Below are 21,313 nucleotides of genomic sequence, written 5' to 3' on the forward strand. Positions count from 1 at the left end.
GCCCGCGCGGGGCGCACTTCCGCGGCCGCTCTAGGAAGGGAGCGAAAGGGGCTTTCAACTCGGTAGTGTTTCCGCGCGTCTACGTGAGAGGAAGGTTGATGGCTTTCAGGCCCGCTGGTAAATGGAACGGGTTTATCTTCTCCTCTTCTTTACCCAGCCATTGTCCACACTTCCCCCGACCCGATGGGTGGTCGAGGCTTGTAGAACTGATCTTAAGACAGGGAAATCCCTTGCGTCTCCATTCACTTTGGGATTCTGTGTCTCTGAGGTTAGAGATGCCTCAAAGGGATGTTCTCCGGGGGACCTTCCCAAATCCGCGCTTAGCGGTGGCGAAGGGACTTCTTCCACACAGACTTCTCAAGGGCCAGCCGGCTGGTTTCTGCCGGCTCTTTCGCCATCCACGATTCTTTTGATGTTCTCTTTTATGTGCTGATGTATGATTATATGTCAGAAAACCCGGTTCAATGGAAAAACTATAAAAAAAGGATAATTTAGTAAAATAGCAAGATATAAAGTTAACACACTAAAATCAACGACCTTCATATATGTGAATAATCAATGATAACGAGTTACGAGATATAATGGAAGAGAAGACCATATTTACAAGAGCAGCAAAAAAGTGAAACTAGGAATAAACTTAACAAGAAATGAACAAAACTTCTATGGGGAAAGCTTTAAAACATTCCTAAAAGGCCAAGTATACATTTAAACAAACAGAAAGCGATATGAGGTTCTTGGAAAGACTCAAAGAGGTCAGTCCTCCCTAAATACGTATGCAACTGTAGTATTCCAACAAAAATATCAACAAATATTGTTCTGGAATTAGATAAACTGATTATAAAATTCATGTGGGGAAATAAGAATAGCCAGGAAACCCATGAAAAAGAAAAATGGTGAGGGTCAACCTTATCAGATACTGGAACATACCCATATAATTTTAGTGTATTAACAGAGAGAAAGAATAGACCAGAAATGGATCCAGGTATGTAAGGATATTGAGTAAATGATGAAGGTGACACCACATATCAACAGGGAAATGAAGAACTTAGAAGTTGTGCTGGGATGATAACCGTTTGGCAAAGGTAAAACTGGATTTGTATTTCCCACCACACATCACAATAGAGATAAATTCTAAATGGATCTGAGATCTAAATATAAAAAATCCACCTATACATGTATTAGAAGAAAACATGAATAATAATTCTAACACGTGGGAATAGGGAAACATTATCTAACCATATGACTCAAAATCTAAAACCCATAAAAATAATAAATCTGGCTACATGAAAATAAAATGTATTGCTTGTCAAAAAAAAATAAGGAAAGAAAAAGGCTTGCAACATATCACAGGCAAGGGCTAGTTTTCCAAATACCTAAAGAGCTCCTAAAAGTTGAGAATAACCAATAACCCAATAGAGAAAATGGCCAAAAGAAATAAATAGTTGACAGAATAAGAAATGCTAGCAGCCCTCAAACATCTGTAAATATGTTCAACTTCACTCAAAATATGAACATACAAATTAAAAACTATGCTGACTGAGGCACCGTTAGTCATCAGATTGGCAATGGTACAAAAGTTTGACAGCATGCTCTACTCATGAGGAAGGAGAAACTCTTAACATTCTAGTGGGAATGCAAAATGGTACAACCCATAGGTATGAAAGATAATACTATACAGCAAAATTATATATGTAAGTTTACCCTTTGTTCCTGCAATACCACTTCTAGAAATCCATCTCAAAGATACTTTGACAAAAATATGAAGTGACACACACACAAGATTAAATGAGATCAGGAGAGGCCTGATTTTTAAAATGCCAAATATGAGGGGATGAAATTGAGAAATTCTCAGGAGGAAAAATGGATCAGGGCTTCATCATTGATTATGTGGGGGATAAGAGAACCAAAAAAAAAAAAAAAAAAAGCCTGGTATCGTCAGAGGATGGTGGTCCCTCCACCAAGACAGGGGACACTAAATGACAAGTAGCATTTTGAGAAGAAATTTATGAGCACAGCTTGGCCATGTTAAGTTCGAAATCCTAGGAAGCATTACACTGTAGATGTTGCTATTTGTTAATGGATTGGTTTAGGGATTTGTGGGTCTAGGAGTCATGAGAAGAGAGTTAGCTTGAGATCCATATTTTGGAGCCTTCCACCTTTCAGTAATGGTTAAAATGATTAAGATATCTCATGAAGTGTGTGGTGCTAAAAAACAGCCTAGGACAGATTTCTGGAGTGCCCTTTGCCCCCTACTGCCAGCCCTATAGATTCTTCTTTCAGGGCGTCTGCGGAGAAGGGAGAGAGAGATCCCTCCTCACACCGTGCCAGGGCTCAAATCTCACCTGAAGCCGTAGAACATCTCAGAAAACAACAGACAGAGAAATTATTGGACAACAACTTGAATTCAACCTGGAAGTGTCCCTCAAGCTCACTTTGGGGTCCTTTTCCAGGCATCTTGAAGGATTTTTGCAATGCAGTTGTTTTCCAAGTTCCACTTGGCATGACTTACTGTAAGAAGCTGATATGAAAGTCTCACTTAAAAAGTCAGCTTGCACCAAGGATGATTGACTTGGCATAGTTCCCAGGGACCTAGGTGAAACAGTCAACTTTTTGTCACAGATGCAATGTAGCCAGAAGAAAAGAGCATCTAAGCACAAAGAGAGCTTAAGACAGAACTCCGAGTAAAACCAATCTCCGTCTTTTGACACTAGAGAAACACAAGGATATAGAGACAAAGAGCAGACAAAATGGATCTCCAGAATACCTTTATTTTAAACAATTTTTGTCTAACATTATTACTAACACTTTTTGGCCATTTTACTAACAAAATAACTCTAACATTTAAAAAGGAGAAAGCTTCCTGTGATATATTGATAAGCCTTCTAACTGCACTTAAAAGGGAAAAAAAGCAGATGTTGAGATCTAGGACTCAAAGACTAAGAGAAAAGGTAAAACTGTAATATTGGAAGCTCACTTTGTTACTTTGTGAAAATGAAAGCATGTATAAACTTGATTAGCTCATAATTGTGCCAGGTTTATTTAGTGAGGTTGAAAGGGGATGGAGACAATTGAGAAAAAAGTTATTTGGGAAAAGATTTCAAAAAAAGGCTTATTTTTCCTTCAGACTTTAAATCTGAGGTGGATAAAGGTATTGTGGAAAATTAAAGATGACTACAAATTATTTGGCATTTCTCATCAAGATGTGGGGTCTATGTCACTTTCCCTTGAATCTGAGTGGGGTTAATCATTAATTTGACCAATAAAATACTGCAAAAGTGATGCTGTGGTTTCTGGCCTGAGCCTTTGGAGAGCAGCAGCTTTCACTTTTTGTCTTTTAGAACAATTGCTCTTGAAGTCCTGAGCCACCATGGAAGAAGTCTGCCAACCCTGCTTTCCAGTGACTGAGTTGCAAGAATCCTTCAAGATGCCAAAAAGATGACCCCAAAGTGAGCTTTGTGTGTCTCCGAGACCACATAAAGAAGCTCTGAGACCACATGGAGAAGATCAGCCCGGCTAAGCCCACTTTTCTGGCTGTCCCTGCCAAGGCACTTGGCATGGCAGTGAAGCTGTCTTGGATTTTCCAGACAAATTATACTGCCAGATGAATACCAGCATGTGATCTTAGTTGACACCACATGAAACAGAAGAATTTCTCAGCTAAGTCCTCCCCAAATTCCTGGCCCAAAACATGATGGTGTGTTTTTGTCCACTGTTTTGGAGTAACTATTTATGCAGCAATAGATAACAAGATCAGATGTTTACCAGATTGTAACAGTTTGATTAGACTATTTCCTAAGAATATTAACTTTCCTTCGTTTCAATGACATAGTCAACATGCAATTTTCAATTTGTAGTTGATATTTAAATTTCCAGTTAGGAAAAAGCTTGATGTTGAGGACTTGCACTAAATTTTAGGCCAGGTATAGCTCCAATTTTTATGGAAATTATTATGTATACAGTATAAGGTAATTTTTTATAGGCTATAGTTAACAATTTCTTTTTTATCTTTTTTTATTATTTATTTATTTTTTATTATACTTTAAGTTCTAGGGTACATGTGCACAACGTGCAGGTTTGTTACATATGTATACATGTGCCATGTTGGTTTGCTGCACCCACTAATTCATCATTTACATTAGGTATTTCTCCTAATGCTTTCCCCTATCCCCCCACCCCACGACAGGCCCCGGTGTGTGATGTACCCCGCCCTGTGTCCAAGTGTTCTCGTTGTTCAGTTCCCACCTATGAGTGAGAACATGTGGTGTTTGATTTTCTGTCCTTGCCATAGTTTGCTCAGAATGATGGTTTCCTGCTTCATCCATGTCACTACAAAGGACATGAACTCATCCTTTTTTATGGCTGCATAGTATTCCATGGTATATATGTGCCACATTTTCTTTATCTAGTCTATCACTGATGGACATTTGGGTTGGTTCCAAGTCTTTGCTATTGTGAATAGTGCTACAATAAACATACGTGTGCATGTGTCTTTATAGTAGCATGATTTATAATCCTTTGGGTATATACCCAGTAATGGGATCACTGGGTCAAATGGTATTTGTAGTTCTAGATCCTTGAGGAATCGCCACACTGTCTTCCACAATGGTTGAACTAGTTTACACTCCCACCAACAGTGTAAAAGTGTTCCTATTTCTCCACATCCTCTCCAGCACCTGTTGTTTCCTGACATTTTAATGATTGCCATTCTAATTGGTGTGAGATGGCATCTCATGGTGGTTTTGATTTGCATTTCTCTGATGACCAGTGATGATGAGCATTTTTTCATTTGTCTGTTGTCTGCATAAATGTCTTCTTTTGAAAAATGTCTGTTCCTATCCTTTGCCCACTTTTTGATGGGGTCGTTTGATTTTTTCTTGTAAATTTGTTTAAGTTCTTTGTAGATTCTGGATATTAGCCCTTTGTCTGATGGGTAGATTGCAAAATTTTTCTCCCATTCTGTAGGTTGCCTGTTCACTCTGATGGTAGTTTCTTTTGCTGTGCAGAAGCTCTTTAGTTTAATTAGATCCCCTTCATCTGTTTTGGCTTTTGTTGCCATTGCTTTTGGTGTTTTAGTCATGAAGTCCTTGCCCATACCTATGTCCTGAATGGTATTGCCTAGGTTTTCTTCTAGGGTTTTTATAGTTTTAGGTCTAACATTTAAGTGTTTAATCCATCTTGAATTAATTTTTGTATAAGGTGTAAGGAAGGGATCCAGTTTCAGCTTTCTACATATGGCTAGCCAGTTTTCCCAGCACCATTTATTAAATAGGGAATCCTTTCCCCATTTCTTGTTACTAACCAATTTCTTAATCACATTAGACACTAAACCAAATCAGGGTTAGACCTGAAACCTTTTTAAAAAATCAAACTGTGGGATCCTGTGGTAACTATACTAAAACAGTTGTTGTCAAATCACATTTTTGTATTTTAAATCCATATTTCTCACCTGGAAAAATGTTAGTATTTAAACTCAATATATAAACATTTAACATATTGCCAAATTTTAAATTCTCATATTTATTAAAAAATACTAATTTCTGGCCAGGCGTGGTGGCTCATGCGTGTAATCCCAGCACTTTAGGAGGCTGACAGGGGAGGATCACCTGAGGTCAGGAGTTCAAGACCAGCCTGGCCAATATGGTAAAACCCTGTCTCTACTAAAAATACAAAAATTAGCTGGGCATGGTGGTGGGCACCTGTAATTCCAGCTACTTGGGAGGCTGAGGCAGGAGAACTGCTTGAACCTGGGAGGCGGAGGTTGCAGTGAGCCAAGATCACGCCACTGCACTCCAGCCTGGGCGACAGAGTGAGACTCCATCTCAAAAACAAAACAAAACAAAACAAAACAAAAAACTAATTTCTTAACTCTAAATCATCATTAGTGATAATAAAGGAAGTATTTCATTTACAGATTTGAAAACAGAAGCCAAAAGCAAAACAAAGTTTTGTGATGTGAATTCTGTGAGCTTCAGAAAGTATATAGTTGAGAAAACAGGTACTTCAGAGAAAGCATATAGTTAAGAACACAGGTAAATATGTCAATAAAGGAAGAACTTTCAGGGTTCACATGGATATAATAGAATGTTTTGTTTCCTATCTACAGCTCTAATGGGAGAGTCCATAACTAGCTGTTTAAAAAAAATCAAATTGTATCTAATTGATGAACCATTGATACCATTTGTTTTTTGCTGGTCATCTCTCATCTACCTTTAAGAAATGTGCGACAGATTGAGAAGAAGTCTGAAAACTATTTCAATAGGTCCATGCTGGTAAGCAGATACTGAGCCATATAACTGGGCATAAATTGAATAAAACCTTGTTTTAAAAAGTGAGTGAGTAAAAAAGTAAAAAGTGAGTAAAAATTTAAGCTGCCCTTCATCCCAAGGAGACAAAAGTAGAAACTGAGAATAGTAACATAATCATATATTGAAGATTGTGACTTAAGTTCTAATTGAACATAGCAAATATTCAATAGGCAGTGTTAAGAGTAAATAAACAAAATTAACAACAACAAGTAATAGAACTAAATTGCTTAGTGATATGGAGGTGACCATTAGGAGAACCAGAGATAGAAAAGGTACCCCTCAGGACTACCAGGGAGTGTGTCAAATGATAAAGTAGGTCTGCTGCTTTTCATCATAAAACCTGGTTTGCTGTTTGATTTTTTAAATATTATAAACCTTTCAGTGCAAAGTGGTCGATAAAAATTATAAGCCTATCTAACTTTGATTAAAGAAAAAGACAACAGCATGTTGGCAGTTTTCATGTTTTAAAAAAAAAGAGAGAAGAAAAAGACAACAGCAAAAGAAAAATTAAAGGGCAGTGGTGCATGCCTGTAATCCCAGCACTTTGGGAGGCCGAGGTGATAAGATCACTTGAGGCCAGGAAGTTGAGGCTTGCAGTAAGCCATGACTGCACCACTGCACTGCAGCCTGGGTGACAGAATGAGACTCCATCCCCGAAAAAGGAAAATTAACATTTTGAGTATTTGTCAAAATGCGGATGCTACTGCCCAAGGCGAACAATACCCAAGGTGAACAATATGAACATATTAACAAAATAGTAAAATGTACCTATCCTAGAAGCATCATCTAGGCAGTTCTGTTGTTTAATACAAATGGTTTCTTTGGGAGGGCTAGATTGTCCTCTGAGTTACAGGTCCTTAGGTTTTGAAATTCACAGATCACTAAGATATCATGGCCCATCTACAATATCTGCTGCGTGTGTGTGTATGTGTAACATAGACTTTGATCTTTTGATAAAACTGATATTTTTGTATGACCTCTTAGAGACCCTGTAGGAAATTACTCCCACATTGAAGACTGTTGAGTTCCATCTAGGATTGAATCAAAGCATTAAGAATATGAGTATGAATAAAGGAAAAGAGGAAGGCTGCAATCTATATCTTCCACAAACACTAAAAGAAACACTGTTGGGAGCTGCAACAGTAGGTAATTTTGATAGCACGAGGAGAGAGTCAGTGTGACACAGAAGCAGAGCATCAATTTAAGAGAAAGAGTCTGAATCTAAGAGATTTTGATATAGGTCTGAACCTCACTTCTGGCACTTAATAACCGAGTGACTGTTTTATAAAATTTAAAGATTGGTTGATGAAGGGACACAACATACTGATGATGAAAATTAGAACTTTGTTACTTACAACTCCAAAAGAGAGAAGCTGCCATGCAGGGCTACACAGAGTTGGACCCAGGGACAGAGTAACGGCAAGCTGGAGTTGCAGAAGGCAGTGTATATATGGCAAGGAGGTGGAGTTAGCTCGGTTTCAGGGGCTCCATGTGGACTGGTTAATTTCATAGCCTCTGGGTCATAGGGGCTGTCCCTAGTTGTCTAGTACCTGTCCTCAGAGAATGAGGCCCTAATAAGGGAGGCAGCTGTGGTGTGTGCACAGTGGCTTCAGAGAGTGGAGGACCAATAAGTAAAGAGACTGGGATAGGGGTTAGCAAACTATCTGCAAAGGGGAATTGAAGATTTGTTAGCCATAACTTACAAACTGGGTCAAGACAGCATTTGTGAAATATGTCACAGTGACCTTGAGCACACGACCACTCCATTGAGCTTCAGTTGCCTCACCTCTAAAAAATTTCCATGTGTGAAGTATCTTCTACTACTAGTACCTAGTTATAATACATTCACAATAAATGGAATTTACAATAATATAGACAACTTGCTTTGATGTCTGACACCAGTTTATTCCATTTCTTTGTCAATAATCTGGGAGATAAATAAGGTATTTACAGTAAAGGCAGATTTCCCACTTTAAAAGCAATCATAAAATCTGTCCTGATGTTTAATCAATATTGTTTACTATGCTGTTTTATGATAGTCTCAAATTAAAAGATAGTTTACTAAACTTACTACATAGTTTACACTGAAAAGGGTTTTCCTCCAGTTTGTACTCAGAGATGGTAAAACAGGCCTGTGTTCTGAAATGTTCGCCACACTCATTGCAATAACAGTGCTCCTCTCCAGCATGGAAAAACTGGTGCTGGTTAAGGGCTAACAACTGGCAGGATGCTTTCTGACATTCATTACATTTGTAGGGCCTCTCTCCAGTGTGTTTTTTTAAAAAAATGTCTAATACAGCTACCATTTGCACTTAAAGTCTTTTTACATTCTTCATGTAAAATGAAGATTGTAGGATTGGTCTCCTGCATAAGTTTTCTAAAGTTCAGTAAACCCTGGGCTTAAGTGCTTCCCACAGTCAGTACCTTCGAGGTATTTCTCCCTTGAAGAGTGTATGTTCTGATGTTTCACAAGACTTTTACTGAGTCACTAGTCTCAATCTCATTATGCTCACAGAGCTTGTTTTTCAGAAAATCATTTCCAGGAAGGCCTCCATTGTGACTCTCACTTTCCTACTGGGTATCTTCTTTCTCCTCTGAGTGAGCATTCTTAGTACAGATGTTGGGTTGCCCATGCCGGTCCTATTCGCAGGAGAAATCCTGCAAATAGGACCTCATAATGGATCTTCGTAGTGGATCTCTGCTGCTGAGTGTGGCCTGCTCTCTAACTGAAGGCTAACACTGAATACATTTAAAGAATGTTTTCATCTAGTGGATCTCCTGAAGAGGGATAAGTTGTGTACAGAAGCTTTTCTGCCGTCATGGCACTTACAAGTTTTCTCTGCTATATAAACTACCTGATGCTGAATCAAGGCAGACCGATGAATCAAGGTTTTACTACACTGATTCCAGCCAAAGCATTTCTCTTCCGAATGTTTTTCAAGATCATCAAAAACTCTTGCATTCTGAGTAAAGCCTTTTCAACAAGTGTTTTTCACTTGTATTAAGTCTCCAATGTCGACTAAAAACTGATCTTTAACAGTTTTTCCACACCCATCACATTACAGGGTTTTTCTTTCCACCTGGATTCCCACTTGACGAATAAGGCCATTTTTTGATCTAAGGGTCTTCCCACACTCTTCACATAACAGTGGGTGGGCTCAGAGTTTGCTTTCTTTGCTGCTCAGCGAGGTCTGTATTTGGAGTAAAGGCTCCCCCATGTACCCCATGCTGCAAGACTTTCTGTGTTCAGATGAGCCTCTGATGCTGATTATGTACTAAATTCTGGATAACGTTCGTTTTGGAGTCATTGAGTTTGACTTGTTTCTTAATCGTGGAGTGTACCTAACTGCTCCTTGAGATTCTGCAAAATTTTCCTTTGGGTCTGCCAGATAGTTCCCTATGTGGTTCCCTTTCTTCATGTTTCTTGCTTTGGACACATATTTCTGTATTTGTTTCTAGAATCACCATCTGAAGCTACAAATAGACGAACTATCCAAGGAAGAACATAAATTCAATGAGTACAATTCAGATTTATGAGGCAAGTATTTTAGGATGAGGGTAACAGGGCTTCTGCATGTAGGAGAGGGAAGTAGTTAGCAAGAAGACTGATGAAGGTCACTGAAAAAATGCAAAGCACAATAGGAAGCCAATCAAGATGTGTAGAAGGGACAATATTTGAGAGTAAGGAGACATTGTCTGAAACTTTTGCAGTGGTAAAGTGATGCATATGGGTAAGTGTAGAAATATGGACTAAGTGTATAAAATCTTTGGAAAAGTAGCCAGTGGTAAGGAGCAGGAAAGGACCGTTAAAGATGATGATTCTGAGGTTGATTTATACTCACTAATAATGGACAACCATAAAAAGGGGATCACAGTAAATATGAGAGTATGTGACAGAGACACTCTAGAAATAAGCAAGTCAAGGTTTAGTGGAAGTCTTGCTCCATTTGGGATACTTATTATCCTAAGTCAACAACTGATGGTGCCCTGGAGTCTCTTTTTATCTAAGACTTCTTAAATAGATCCTTCTCTGCTACTTAGTATAAGAAAGGAAGTTAAATATGTCCAATAAAAGTATACTGTGGTTTTGGCATTTATTTAAATGTATAAAAACATGTACACATTTATTTAAATGTATAAAAACATGTACACATTTATTTAAATGTATAAAAACATTGCTTCTCGGCCTTTTGGCTAAGATCAAGTGTAAATGTATAAAAACATTTACACATTTATTTAAATGTATAAAAAACATAAAGAATATGTAATTTGGCCAGGGGCAGTGGTTCATTCCTGTAATCCTAGCCCTTTGGGAGGCCATGGTGGGCAGATCGCTTGAACCCAGGAGTTCGAGACCAACCTGGGCAATATAGCGAGACCTCGTCTCTACAAAAAATACAAAAAAATTAGCCAGGCGTGGTGGCGCCTACCTGTATTCCACAGTGTATATTTGCCACATTTTCTTTATTCCACCACTGATGGCCATCTAGGTTGATTCCATGGAGCATGGGGTACATGGGGGAGCCTTTACTTCCATTTTTGCTATTGTGTATAGTGCTGTGATGAACATGTAAGTGCATATATATTTTTGGTAGAATGCTTTATTTTCCTCTGGGTACATAACCCAGTAGTGGGATTGCTGGGTTGAATGGTAGTTCTTTGAGAAGTCGCCAAACTGCTTTCCACAGTGGCCGAACTGTGTATAAGCATTCCTTTTTCTCCTCAGCCTCACCAGCATCTCTTATTGTTTGACTTTTTAATAACAACCATTCTGACTGGTGTAAGATGGTTCTCATTGTGGTTTTTATTTGCACTTCTCTGATGATTAGTGATGTTGCACATTTTTTCATATGTTTGTTGGATGCTTGTATGTCTTCTTTTGAGATGCGTCTGTTCATGTGATTTGCCCATTTTTTAATGGGGTTGTTTTTTGCATGTTGAATTGTTTGTTTTCCTTATAAATTCTGGATATCAGATCTTTGCTGGATGCAGATTGCAAGTATTTTTTTTTCATTTTGTAGTCTATTTACCTGTTAATAATTTCTTTTACTGTGAAGAAGCTTTTTAGTTTAATTAGGTCCCACTTATCAATTTTCATTTTTGTTGAGATTGCTTTTAAGGACTTTATCATAAATTCTTTCCCAAGGCTGATGTCCAGAATGCCATTTCCTAGGTTTTCTTCTAGGATTTTTTTTTTTTTTTTTTTTTTTGAGATGGAGTCTCGCTGTGTCACCCAGGCTGGAGTGCAGTGGTGCAATCTTGGCTCACTGCAAGCTCTGCCTCCCGGGTTCATGCTTTTCTAGGATTCTTATAGTTTGTGGTCTTACTTTTAAATCTTTAATCCATCTTGAGTTAATTTTTCTATATGGTGAAAGGTAGGAATCCAGTTTCATTCTTCTGCATATGGCTGGCCAGCTATCTCAGCACCATTTATTGAATAGGGAGCCCCTTTCCCTGTTGCTTGTTTTTGTTCTTTGTCAAAGATCAATTGACTGTAGGTATGCAGCCTTATTTCTGGGCTATTTTGATCCATTGGTCTCTGCGTCTGTTTTTGTATCAGTACCGTTTGGTTACTGTAGTCTTACAGCATAGTTTGAAGTCAACTAATGTGATGCCCTCAGGTTTGCTCTTTTTGCTTAAGGTTGCTTTGGCTATTTGGGTTATTTTTGGTTCCATATGAATTTTAGAATAGTTTTTTCTAATTGTGTGAAAATGACATTGGTAATTTGATAGGAATAGTGTTGAATCTATAGATTGCTTTGTCCAGTATGGTCATTTTAGTGATATTGACTCTTCCAATCCATGAGCAGGAAATGCTTTTCCCTTTGTTTGTGTCATCTATGATTTCTTTCAGCAGTGTTTTGTAGTTCTTTTTGTAGAGGTCTTTGAAGCTTGGTTAGATATATTCCTAGGTATTTTATTTTTTTGTATCTATTGTAAATGGGATTGCATACAACTTGCTTTTAGATGGTTCAGTTGAAAAAGGAAGAAAGAAAGGAGGAAGGAAAGGAGGAATGAAAGCAAAGTATACATGTGGCTGGGTGTGGTGGCTCATGCCTATAGTCTGAGTACTTTGGGAGGCCAAGGAGGGAGGATCGTTTGAGGCCAGGAGTTCAAAACCAGCCTGGGCAATATAGTCAGATCCTGTCTCTACAAAAAATTTAAAAGTTAGCTGGGCATGTTGACACATGTCTGTAGTTTTAGCTACTCAGGAGGCTGAGGTGGGAGGATCCCTTGAGCCTTGAACTCAGGAGTCTGAAGCTGCAATGAGCTATGGTTGCACTGCTGCACTCCAGCCTGGGCAACAGAGTGAGACCCTGTCTCTTAAAAAAAGGAAGAGAGAAAAAAGTGTACATGTGTCTTAATCTGTTCAGTATATTATAACAAAAACACCATAAACTCGGTGATGTATAAACAACAAACATTTATTTCTCACAGTTCTGGAAGTTGAGAAGTACAAGATGAAGGCACCAGCAGATCTGGTGTCTGGTGAGGGTCAATGATGGTGACTTCTTGCTATGTCGTCACACAGTGGAAGGGTATGGCAGCTCTCTGTGGCCATTTTTTTATAAGGGCACTAATCTTATATAAGAGGGTATCTCCAAAGGGCCTCACTTCCTAATACCATCACAGTGATGACTGATTAGGTTTCAATATATGAATTCTGGGGACACACAAACATTCAGACCATAGCAGCAGTATACATTCTGATAAAGCAAATTTTTTTTAAAAAAGTAGTAATTTCACCGAAATAAGGAATTTTTAAGGAAAAGGAAGTGAAATAATATATGAAAGGCAATGGAAACCTGGCTGGGTGCTGTGGCTCATGCCTGTATCCCAGCACTTTGGGTGGCCTCGGAGTTTGAGACCAGCCTAGCCAACATGGGTGAAACCGTGTCTCTACTAAAAATACAAAAATTAGCTGGGCATGCTGGTACTTGCCTGTAATCCCAGCTACTTGGGAGGCTGAGGCAGGAGGATCACTTGAACCTGGGAGATGGAGGTTGCAGTGAGCAGAGATTGCTCGACTGCACTCCAGCCTGGGTGAGAGAGTAAGACTCCGTCTTTAAAAAAAAAAAAAAAAAAAAAAAAAAAAAAGACAATAGAAACCCAATCAGGCTCAAAAATGAGAAGACTCACTAGCCATGGTTGATAAATATGGAGACAGGGTTGCCAAGGAATATGCACCAGACTGGGGTCTCAATTATTTTGGCCTCATTTTGTCTCCAACTAAAAAATTGACCTCGAGCAAGTAACATAAACTCTGCGTCTATTTTGTAACCTATGAAACAAGAAATTAGGCCATTAGATTTTAATCCCATTCCCCCTTCCTTTTTACAGACCAGTAAAAGGAATTTTTTTTTTCTTTTTTCTTTTTTCTTTTTTTTTTAAATAGGAATTTGCTCTGTCACCCAGGCTGGAGTGCAGTGGTACGATCACAGCTTACTGCAGCCTCACCTTCTGGGCTCCAGTGATCCCACCTAAACCTGCAGAGTAGCTGGGACTATAGACATGCGCCACCATGACCAGCTAATTTTTAAATTTTCTTTAGAGACGAGGTCTTACTATGTTGCAACACTGGTCTAGAACTTCTAGACTCAAGTGATCCTTCTGTCTTGGCCTCCCAAAATGCCAGGATCACAGGTGTGAGCTACTGCATTTGGCAAAAACCAGTTTTAGGAATTTGAATAAATTCCTAAAAATAAAGCAGAGCCTTTTCTCAGGTGAAGCAAAGGGGGCTGGATGCCAGAACCCTGCTTGACTGACCTGATCCTGCCCATGGCTGACTGCCAAGTAACATCTGAGGAGTCACCTAAGGTTCTGGAGAACAGTTTGAAAGCCAATGATTGTGCTGATTTTTAAAGGCCTTTTATAGGCCTTTAATATGCTTAAAGTGTCTGTAGGTTAAAAAATAAACTTGCTTATCATTGTCTGGGAACATTAAAAAAATAAATTTGTGAGGTTTAAAAACAGTATACAGTCAATTATTAAGCTCTTAATAGAGGCCTTTCCTGATTACGGTAGAGTAGCCTTTAACCACACTCCAGTCACCATGACAACATCCTATTTTATTTTCTTTATAGCATTTATCAGTACCTAAAATTATCAATACTTCTGTGTTTGTCGGTTCTCTGTCCCTAGAATGTGTATTCCTTGAGGAAAGGGATTCCCTAATCTAAAAGGGATTAATAATGAGATGATGGCATCCAATATGTGCTCAATATATTTGTCACCTAAGGATTTCAGAAACATAAGTTTCCATGTGGATTTTTACACTTCACATGTTAAAACTTGGTCATCTTATGGGTGGTTTCTACTTTCTCTTGAAAATTAACCACAATTTACTAATTTTAATAAACTAATTTTGGATGCAGCCCTGGAAAAGGGACTATGTTGTAGGCTCTCTGGATTCTGTTATGTTCTTCCAAAGTATTGAGTTTTGTATTTTTAAGCAGTAGATAACTTTATTATTTATTTATTTATTTATTTTTTGAGACGGAGTCTTGCTCTTGTTTCCCAGGCTGGAGTGCAGTGGTGTAATCTCAGCTCACCACAACCTCTGCCTCCCGGGTTCAAGCTGTTCTCCTGCCTCAGCCTCCTGAGTAGCTGGGATTACAGGCACCTGGCTAATTTTTGTAGTTTTAGTAGAAACAGGGTTTCACCATGTTGGCCAGGCTGGTCTCGAACTCCTGACCCAGGTGATCCGCCCGCCTCGGCCTCCCAAAGTGCTGGGATTATAGGCGTGAGCCACCGCGACTGGCCGCAGGTAGATAACTTTAAATTGTCACTCCCGTACTGGATGGCAACTGAAACCTAAGTTGACATTTTAGCCATAGCTGAACTACTTGAAATCTACTCTGTGATGCATGGTTCAGGAACCATGGGGAAATTTGGGTGGATTTTATATATAGAACTTGGGGCTGCCCTTATCTGTTTTTTGCCTTCCTAGGATTCCCACCCCACTCCCTTTACAGTTGCTGGGATCCCCTAAACTCTGTCCTTTGGTTCTTCAAACCAGTAAGACTGCGGATTTTCCAGTCCTTTTTCAGTCATCCCACGTGGCATAGACTGAGACCTACTCCTAGGCTAGGAGATATAACTACCAATGCACTGTCATGACAGATCGGATTAGTTAATATAATTGAAAGGACTTTCAAAGCAAATGTAATTATTAATATTGACTCTCATATACTATAACTTAGATTTCCTGAAATGCAGGCATGACACCATGTTTATCTTTGCAATCCTGTAGCAGCTTACATTGTACTACACATAGGTGTTCAAATCATTTTCATTTAACTCAAATGAGTAGTACCTAATTAGGTGTGGAAGTAACAGGAAAAGTGGTAGTTTGGAGAATTACTCTAGAAGGCAAAACGTTTTCATCAATTAACAAGAACTTTGAAATGCACAACTAATAAAACAACTTGGGAGATACAGAAATACTCAAATATGAATAGAAATTAGTCAATTTAATCATAAATCAATCACTTTATTCTAGTCAGTAACTGATTAAATAAAACAAAAGTTCAACTTCCTGTGCTACTTATCAGTGTTCACTCAGTAGGTAAAATGTATACACTCTCATGATTCTGGGAGGAAAAATCCACTTTAAATGGCAAGAGAAACCAAATTATTTGGTGCCCCTCCTTCATGGCTTTGAAATACCCAATTCACATTGCTTTCAAAATTTAGCAAGATATTATTGCATTTTGCGTAGTATTGTGCATACAATAGGCACTCAACTTTTTTTACATGTCTTCAGTTGCTCACAGCCTATGTTCTAGGAATTTATAGACGCTGCTGAATTGTTTGATCTGGACTGCAGAACACTGACCTGGAATCCACTGAACTTAAACCAGTTCTCTGGCTTATTACTTTCTAACATTAAATAAATCTTTACCTTTCTTAGCCTCTTTATCTGTAGAAAACAGACAATAACTAGTTCACAGAGTTGTAATGATTAATGGAGAACATCTGAAAACATTTTATAAGCTTTAGAAAAAACGATAAAGATGTAAATTCCAAATTGTTCACAATAGGTTTTAGTGCTAGGCACGTTTGTTATTGGGAACTAACTTGATAAACTTTTTCTCCCTGTGCCTCAAAAAAAGTTTCATGAAATAGAACAATTTATTTGTTCTTTAACCAACCTAAGAGGTTTTGTTCAATAGTTCACATACTTTTGGCAATTAAAAACAGTATATTTGTGAGGTTTTTCATGGGGAAATCTGGAAAATAGGGCTGAGCAGTGTTTTCCAAGGTTTAAGGTATATAACAATCAACTGGGGATCTTGTTAAAATGCAGATTCTGATTCAGTTGGTCTGGGGTGATGCCAAGGCTGCTGATCTTCTGACCACTTTGAGTAAAGAGTCTAAACCTATTGAAGAAAGATAGTAAACAATCATCTTGTTCATGCTTATGATTAAAGATAGCATCCAAGTAAGCTGTTTTCCTACGCAGATAACTAGTAGGTAGGCTAGGTAATTTTTAAAAACTCTACGTTCAGTTGTGAATTCATGACACTTGGAACAATTGCTGAAAATGTAACAATTTTTCTAAGAGTTGGAGGCTAAAAGCTTAAGAAGGAAGCACTTCTGAGGGCTTGTAAGAGATAATTTTCTTCCCTGTGCAACTCCTGAAAGGGAAAACAATTGCTTTAAGATAAAGTTGTTTTTTTTTTTTTTTTTTTTGAGACGGAGTCTCGCTCTGTCGCCCAGGCTAGAGTGCAGTGGCGCGATCTCGGCTCACTGCAAGCTCCGCCTCCCGGGTTCACGCCATTCTCCTGCCCCAGCCTCCCGAATAGCTGGGACTACAGGCGCCTGCCACCGCGCCCGGCTAATTTTTTTGTATTTTTAGTAGAGACGGGGTTTCACCGTGTTAGGGATGGTCTCGGTCTCCTGACCTCGTGATCCACCCGCCTTGGCCTTCCAAAGTGCTGGGATTACAGGCTTGAGCCACCGCGCCCGGCTAAGATAAAGTTTACATAGGAGCCAGATCATCTTAATCTGGGGGCTTCTGATATTGAAGTCCATGGACATCTAGTGGAAAGAACAATGGACTGGGATACAGAGCCCTAGTATTTATTAATTTGCTTCCTAGCATTGGGTATGTACGTACATATTTTGTTTTTAACTGTCTCAACTTCCTATCAGCAAAACGGGAATAACTGGTCCTGACAACTTCATAGGGTGACTATGTGAATCAAAAGGTAATATATGTAAAAATATTTCTTCAAGGCTGTTAGAAGTGTGAGGTGGTATAATGGTAAAGAATGCAGACTCTGGAGTCAGACCAGCTTCACTTCTTTATAGCTGTGTATTATTTACCTTCTTCTGGTTTCATTTCAAAACTAGACTGAGGAATAAACAAATGCCTCTGGAGGAATTTATACTGATGACCATTCAGGAAAATTTCTTACTAAGTGATTTTGAGTATCAAAGATAAAAGACAAATTATTTCTCCAGAGCTTCCCATTTATTATTTTGCATTCACATAAGAATACAGATTATATTCATGATAAAGAATATTAAGGCCAGGTGCAGTGGCTCATGCCTGTAATCCCAGCATTTTGGGAAGCCAAAATGGGTGGATAGTTTGAGGCAGGAGTTTGAGATCAGCCTAGGCAACACAGTAAGACCCCTGTGAAGTTGACTTCAAGTTGTGAAACACTGTATGATTATGTTATTTATTTTTAATTTTTTAATTTTTGTGAGTACACTGTAGGTATATATATTTATAAGGTACATGAGATCTTTTGATACAGGCATGCAATGTGAAATAAGCACATAATGGAGAATGGGATATCCATAATTTATTTATTTATTTATTTTTTTGAGATAGAGTTTCACTCTGTCTCCCAGGCTAGAGTGCAGTGGAGCCATCTCGGCTCACTGCAAGCTCTGCCTCCCGGGTTCACGCCATTCTCCTGCCTCAGCCTGCCGAGTAGCTGGGACTACAGGTGCCCGCCACCACACCCAGCTAATTTTTTGTATTTTTAGTAGAGACGGGGTTTCACCGTGTTAGCCAGGATGGTCTCAATCTCCTGACCTTGTGATCTGCCTGCCTTGGCCTCCCAAAGTGCTGGGATTACAGGCATGAGCCACCATGCCCGGCCAATTTATTTATTTATTTTTAGATACAGGATCTCACTCTGTCACCCAGGCTGGAGTGCAGCAGCACAAATGTAGCTCACTGCAGCCTCTAACTCCTGACCTTAAGCGACCCTCCCACATCAGCCTTCGAAGTAGCTGGGATTACAGGCATGAGCCACCACATCTGGATACATATGACATAATTTACAGACTGGTATTAAAATTAATGATGGTTCAAAGACTATTAGTTGATTATTTAAATGATTCAGCAGTAAAACGTAGTAAGCTTTTCTACACTATACTCAAAAGTATAAAAAGATCATTATGTTTATGGTGGTCAAAATGAACAATTAACTTGATCATCTTTCTCCTGCAGTAGAACTCAAAATCAATAAGGAGGATTTTGGCAATTTTCCTGAACCCCTAATAAAATGTATTAATAATAATAATAAATCAATAAAACTTGTTTTGTTTTCACTTTTTTTTTTTTTTTGACTCTAGGACTACTTTACTCATTTACCTGCCTGGCCCATAAACAAAATCTGAGTCTGCTTATTCCCTTCCTTTGAAGACCAGCTTGGGTATCTCCAGTGTTTTCCTAATGCAAATTAAAATTAACACACCTCTATTAAAAAAAAAAAAAAGATGCAGCTAGGTGCAGTGACTCATGCCTATAATACCAGAGCTTTGGGAGGCTGAGGTGAGAGGATTGCTTGAGGCCAGGAGTTCAAGACCAGCCTGGGCAACACAGTGAGTTTCCATCTAAAAAAATTTTTTTAAATTAGCTGGGCATGTTGGCATACACTTGTAGTCCTACCTAGTCAAGAGGCTGAGGAAGGAGAACTGCTTGAGCTCAGGAGTTCGAGGTTACACTGAGCTATATGATTGTACCACTGCACTGTAGCCTGGGTGACATAACAAGATCCTGTCTCTAAGAGAGAGAGAGAGGAAAAAAAAAAGCATCTTTCTTGTTTGGAGTCTTGGCTGGGAGGTACATGTTATACATCAGAACTTAGGTAGGAATGGAAGGCCCAAGAATTCACTGTGCTGTCCGTAAAAGGATGCTAAACATGTTTGACTTGACAAATTATCACCACTGCAGCTACATTTAAAATACATTAATCATCTAATATTCTTATTTGCATTTTATGTACAACTTAAGTTTTCACTAAAAAGTATTATTAAACAACAGTCTAAGCTTTTGTGAGAACTGTAATTTGGAACAACTAGTAAAACATCTGGAAACTGAACTGGTGGTCCACAGGCCACTCTGAATCACAAAAGTGTTTTATTTGATTAGCGGTTAGGGGAAAAGTAAGTGGCTTGTTCTGTTAAATGACAGGATTTTGGTGGGGACCATTTTGAAGGGCCAGTTCTCATCCAAACCAAGTTCAAGGTCTGGTGGGAAGAAATTCTGCCTTGCCAATTTCAGATGCTGGACACTCACAAAATTTCAATGTCAGGTGAGAAGCTATTATGCAAAGCCTTTTCCATCCATATTTATCAACTTCCTAAGTTCTCTTTTGAGTGGATTCTCTGGTGTTGAATAAGGAATGAACGTTAAAGAGAAATTTTACTATACTGATTACACTGAAAGGGTTTCTTTCCAACATGGATTCTGATATGATGAAAAAGCTGAATTCTGACTGTGAACTTTACCACACTTGTTACACTGGTAGTAACATATCTCCCTGGTGTGAAGCCTCTGGTGCTGGTTGAGGACTGACCACTGGCCAAAGGCTTTGTTGCACTTGTCACATTTATTATAGGGTCTCTCTCCAGTATGGATTCTCTTAACGATGAATGAGTCCAGTGTTTGCACTGAAAGCTTTCCCATATTCTTCTCATTTATATATCTAACTCCAGTGTGAATTATCTTATTTGCATGAAGCCTACACTCCTGAGTAAAGGCTTTCCCATACTTGTTACATTCATAGGAATCCTCACCAGTGTGAATTTCTGATGCTGAATTAGGACAGAGTTCTGAGCAAAAATTATTCCACATTCATCACTGTGGTATTTTCTGGATATTTTCCTAGTCTTTCCTCATACATTTGGACATCTACACAAAGTTCTCAGGAATACTGCCATCAAATCTGACAGTGTTTTCCTGTTGGCATGTTATTTCATTTCTTTTGTTTGGGAAGAACATTCTCATTCTTCATTTTGATCAAATCATCTGAAAGAAGAGACTGAAAATGTCAGCATAATTCACTCATTCACATATACTTTACTCAATCACTTGCTCACGAAATAAGCACTTTTTAGAACTACATGCCAGAAGAGATAACAGAAGGAACTTATGTGTATATCCACTGGTGGCATAACCATATAAAAGAATAATTATTTCATATGTCCTTAAAGCAGTAAATTTTTTTTTTGTATAGCCCAAGTGAGATATATCTTAAGAACAAAAAGAACAGAAAACATGTGTATACACACACACGCCACCATTAAGCTATTTACAGTAATCATATTTGTGGGTAATGCGATGTTTTTTATTATGAGGCTATTGTGTATATATTGTGGGACAGCAAATGAGTAATTATTTGATGTTCTATCATTCCTGGTGTCTTTGAGAATCCTCTAAAAGGAGATACAGATGAAGATAAGAGATTAAGACCCCGAAGTAGTAAATGTGAATTAGAACTATCAATGTGAACTCATGATACACACTTTCTTTTAAATTTTTTCCTAACTCTGAGTACTGGAAAGGCCTAGGACCAATGACTAAGCCATAAGCACTCCTAATGCCCTATTTTTGGTTTTGAAATACCATTTCCCATTAGGCAGAATGGGGGGTCCTTGGAAAAAGTATTAATTCTAGGACTATGTAAGGAAAACTATAAGATGGGCCTCGTACATCTTATCATACAGGTCAGCAAGAAAACTATCAAAGATGACTAGGTTCA

At 38.6% G+C, this 21,313-nt stretch overlaps 1 long non-coding RNA gene and 2 pseudogenes across 1 annotated transcript, besides 3 other annotated features; 2 read left to right on the top strand and 1 right to left on the bottom strand.

Annotated features, from left to right (window-relative positions):
* On the top strand, window positions 29–4,493 carry LOC105374998 (uncharacterized). The gene is made up of 2 exons (XR_926659.2): window positions 29–117; window positions 3,339–4,493. It is a non-coding gene; the product is annotated as an uncharacterized LOC105374998 (long non-coding RNA).
* Window positions 91–340: an enhancer, noted in NCBI's record as "active region_24357". NCBI's record gives its function as "activates an Ori minimal core promoter by ATAC-STARR-seq in GM12878 lymphoblastoid cells {active_cell/tissue: GM12878}" and the evidence as "EXISTENCE:reporter gene assay evidence [ECO:0000049][PMID:35858748]".
* On the bottom strand, window positions 8,435–9,460 carry ZNF968P (zinc finger protein 968, pseudogene; annotated as a pseudogene).
* RNU2-45P (RNA, U2 small nuclear 45, pseudogene) lies at window positions 10,480–10,666 on the top strand (annotated as a pseudogene).
* Window positions 16,617–17,117: an enhancer, noted in NCBI's record as "H3K4me1 hESC enhancer chr6:28384184-28384684 (GRCh37/hg19 assembly coordinates)". NCBI's record gives its function as "activates a minimal SCP1, AML or CMV promoter by ChIP-STARR-seq in naive H9 embryonic stem cells {active_cell/tissue: H9 hESC(naive)}" and the evidence as "EXISTENCE:reporter gene assay evidence [ECO:0000049][PMID:30033119]".
* Window positions 17,118–17,618: an enhancer, noted in NCBI's record as "H3K4me1 hESC enhancer chr6:28384685-28385185 (GRCh37/hg19 assembly coordinates)". NCBI's record gives its function as "activates a minimal SCP1, AML or CMV promoter by ChIP-STARR-seq in naive H9 embryonic stem cells {active_cell/tissue: H9 hESC(naive)}" and the evidence as "EXISTENCE:reporter gene assay evidence [ECO:0000049][PMID:30033119]".

Source organism: Homo sapiens, chromosome 6 (assembly GCF_000001405.40).
Source record: "Homo sapiens chromosome 6, GRCh38.p14 Primary Assembly".
Lineage (NCBI taxonomy): Eukaryota > Metazoa > Chordata > Mammalia > Primates > Hominidae > Homo > Homo sapiens.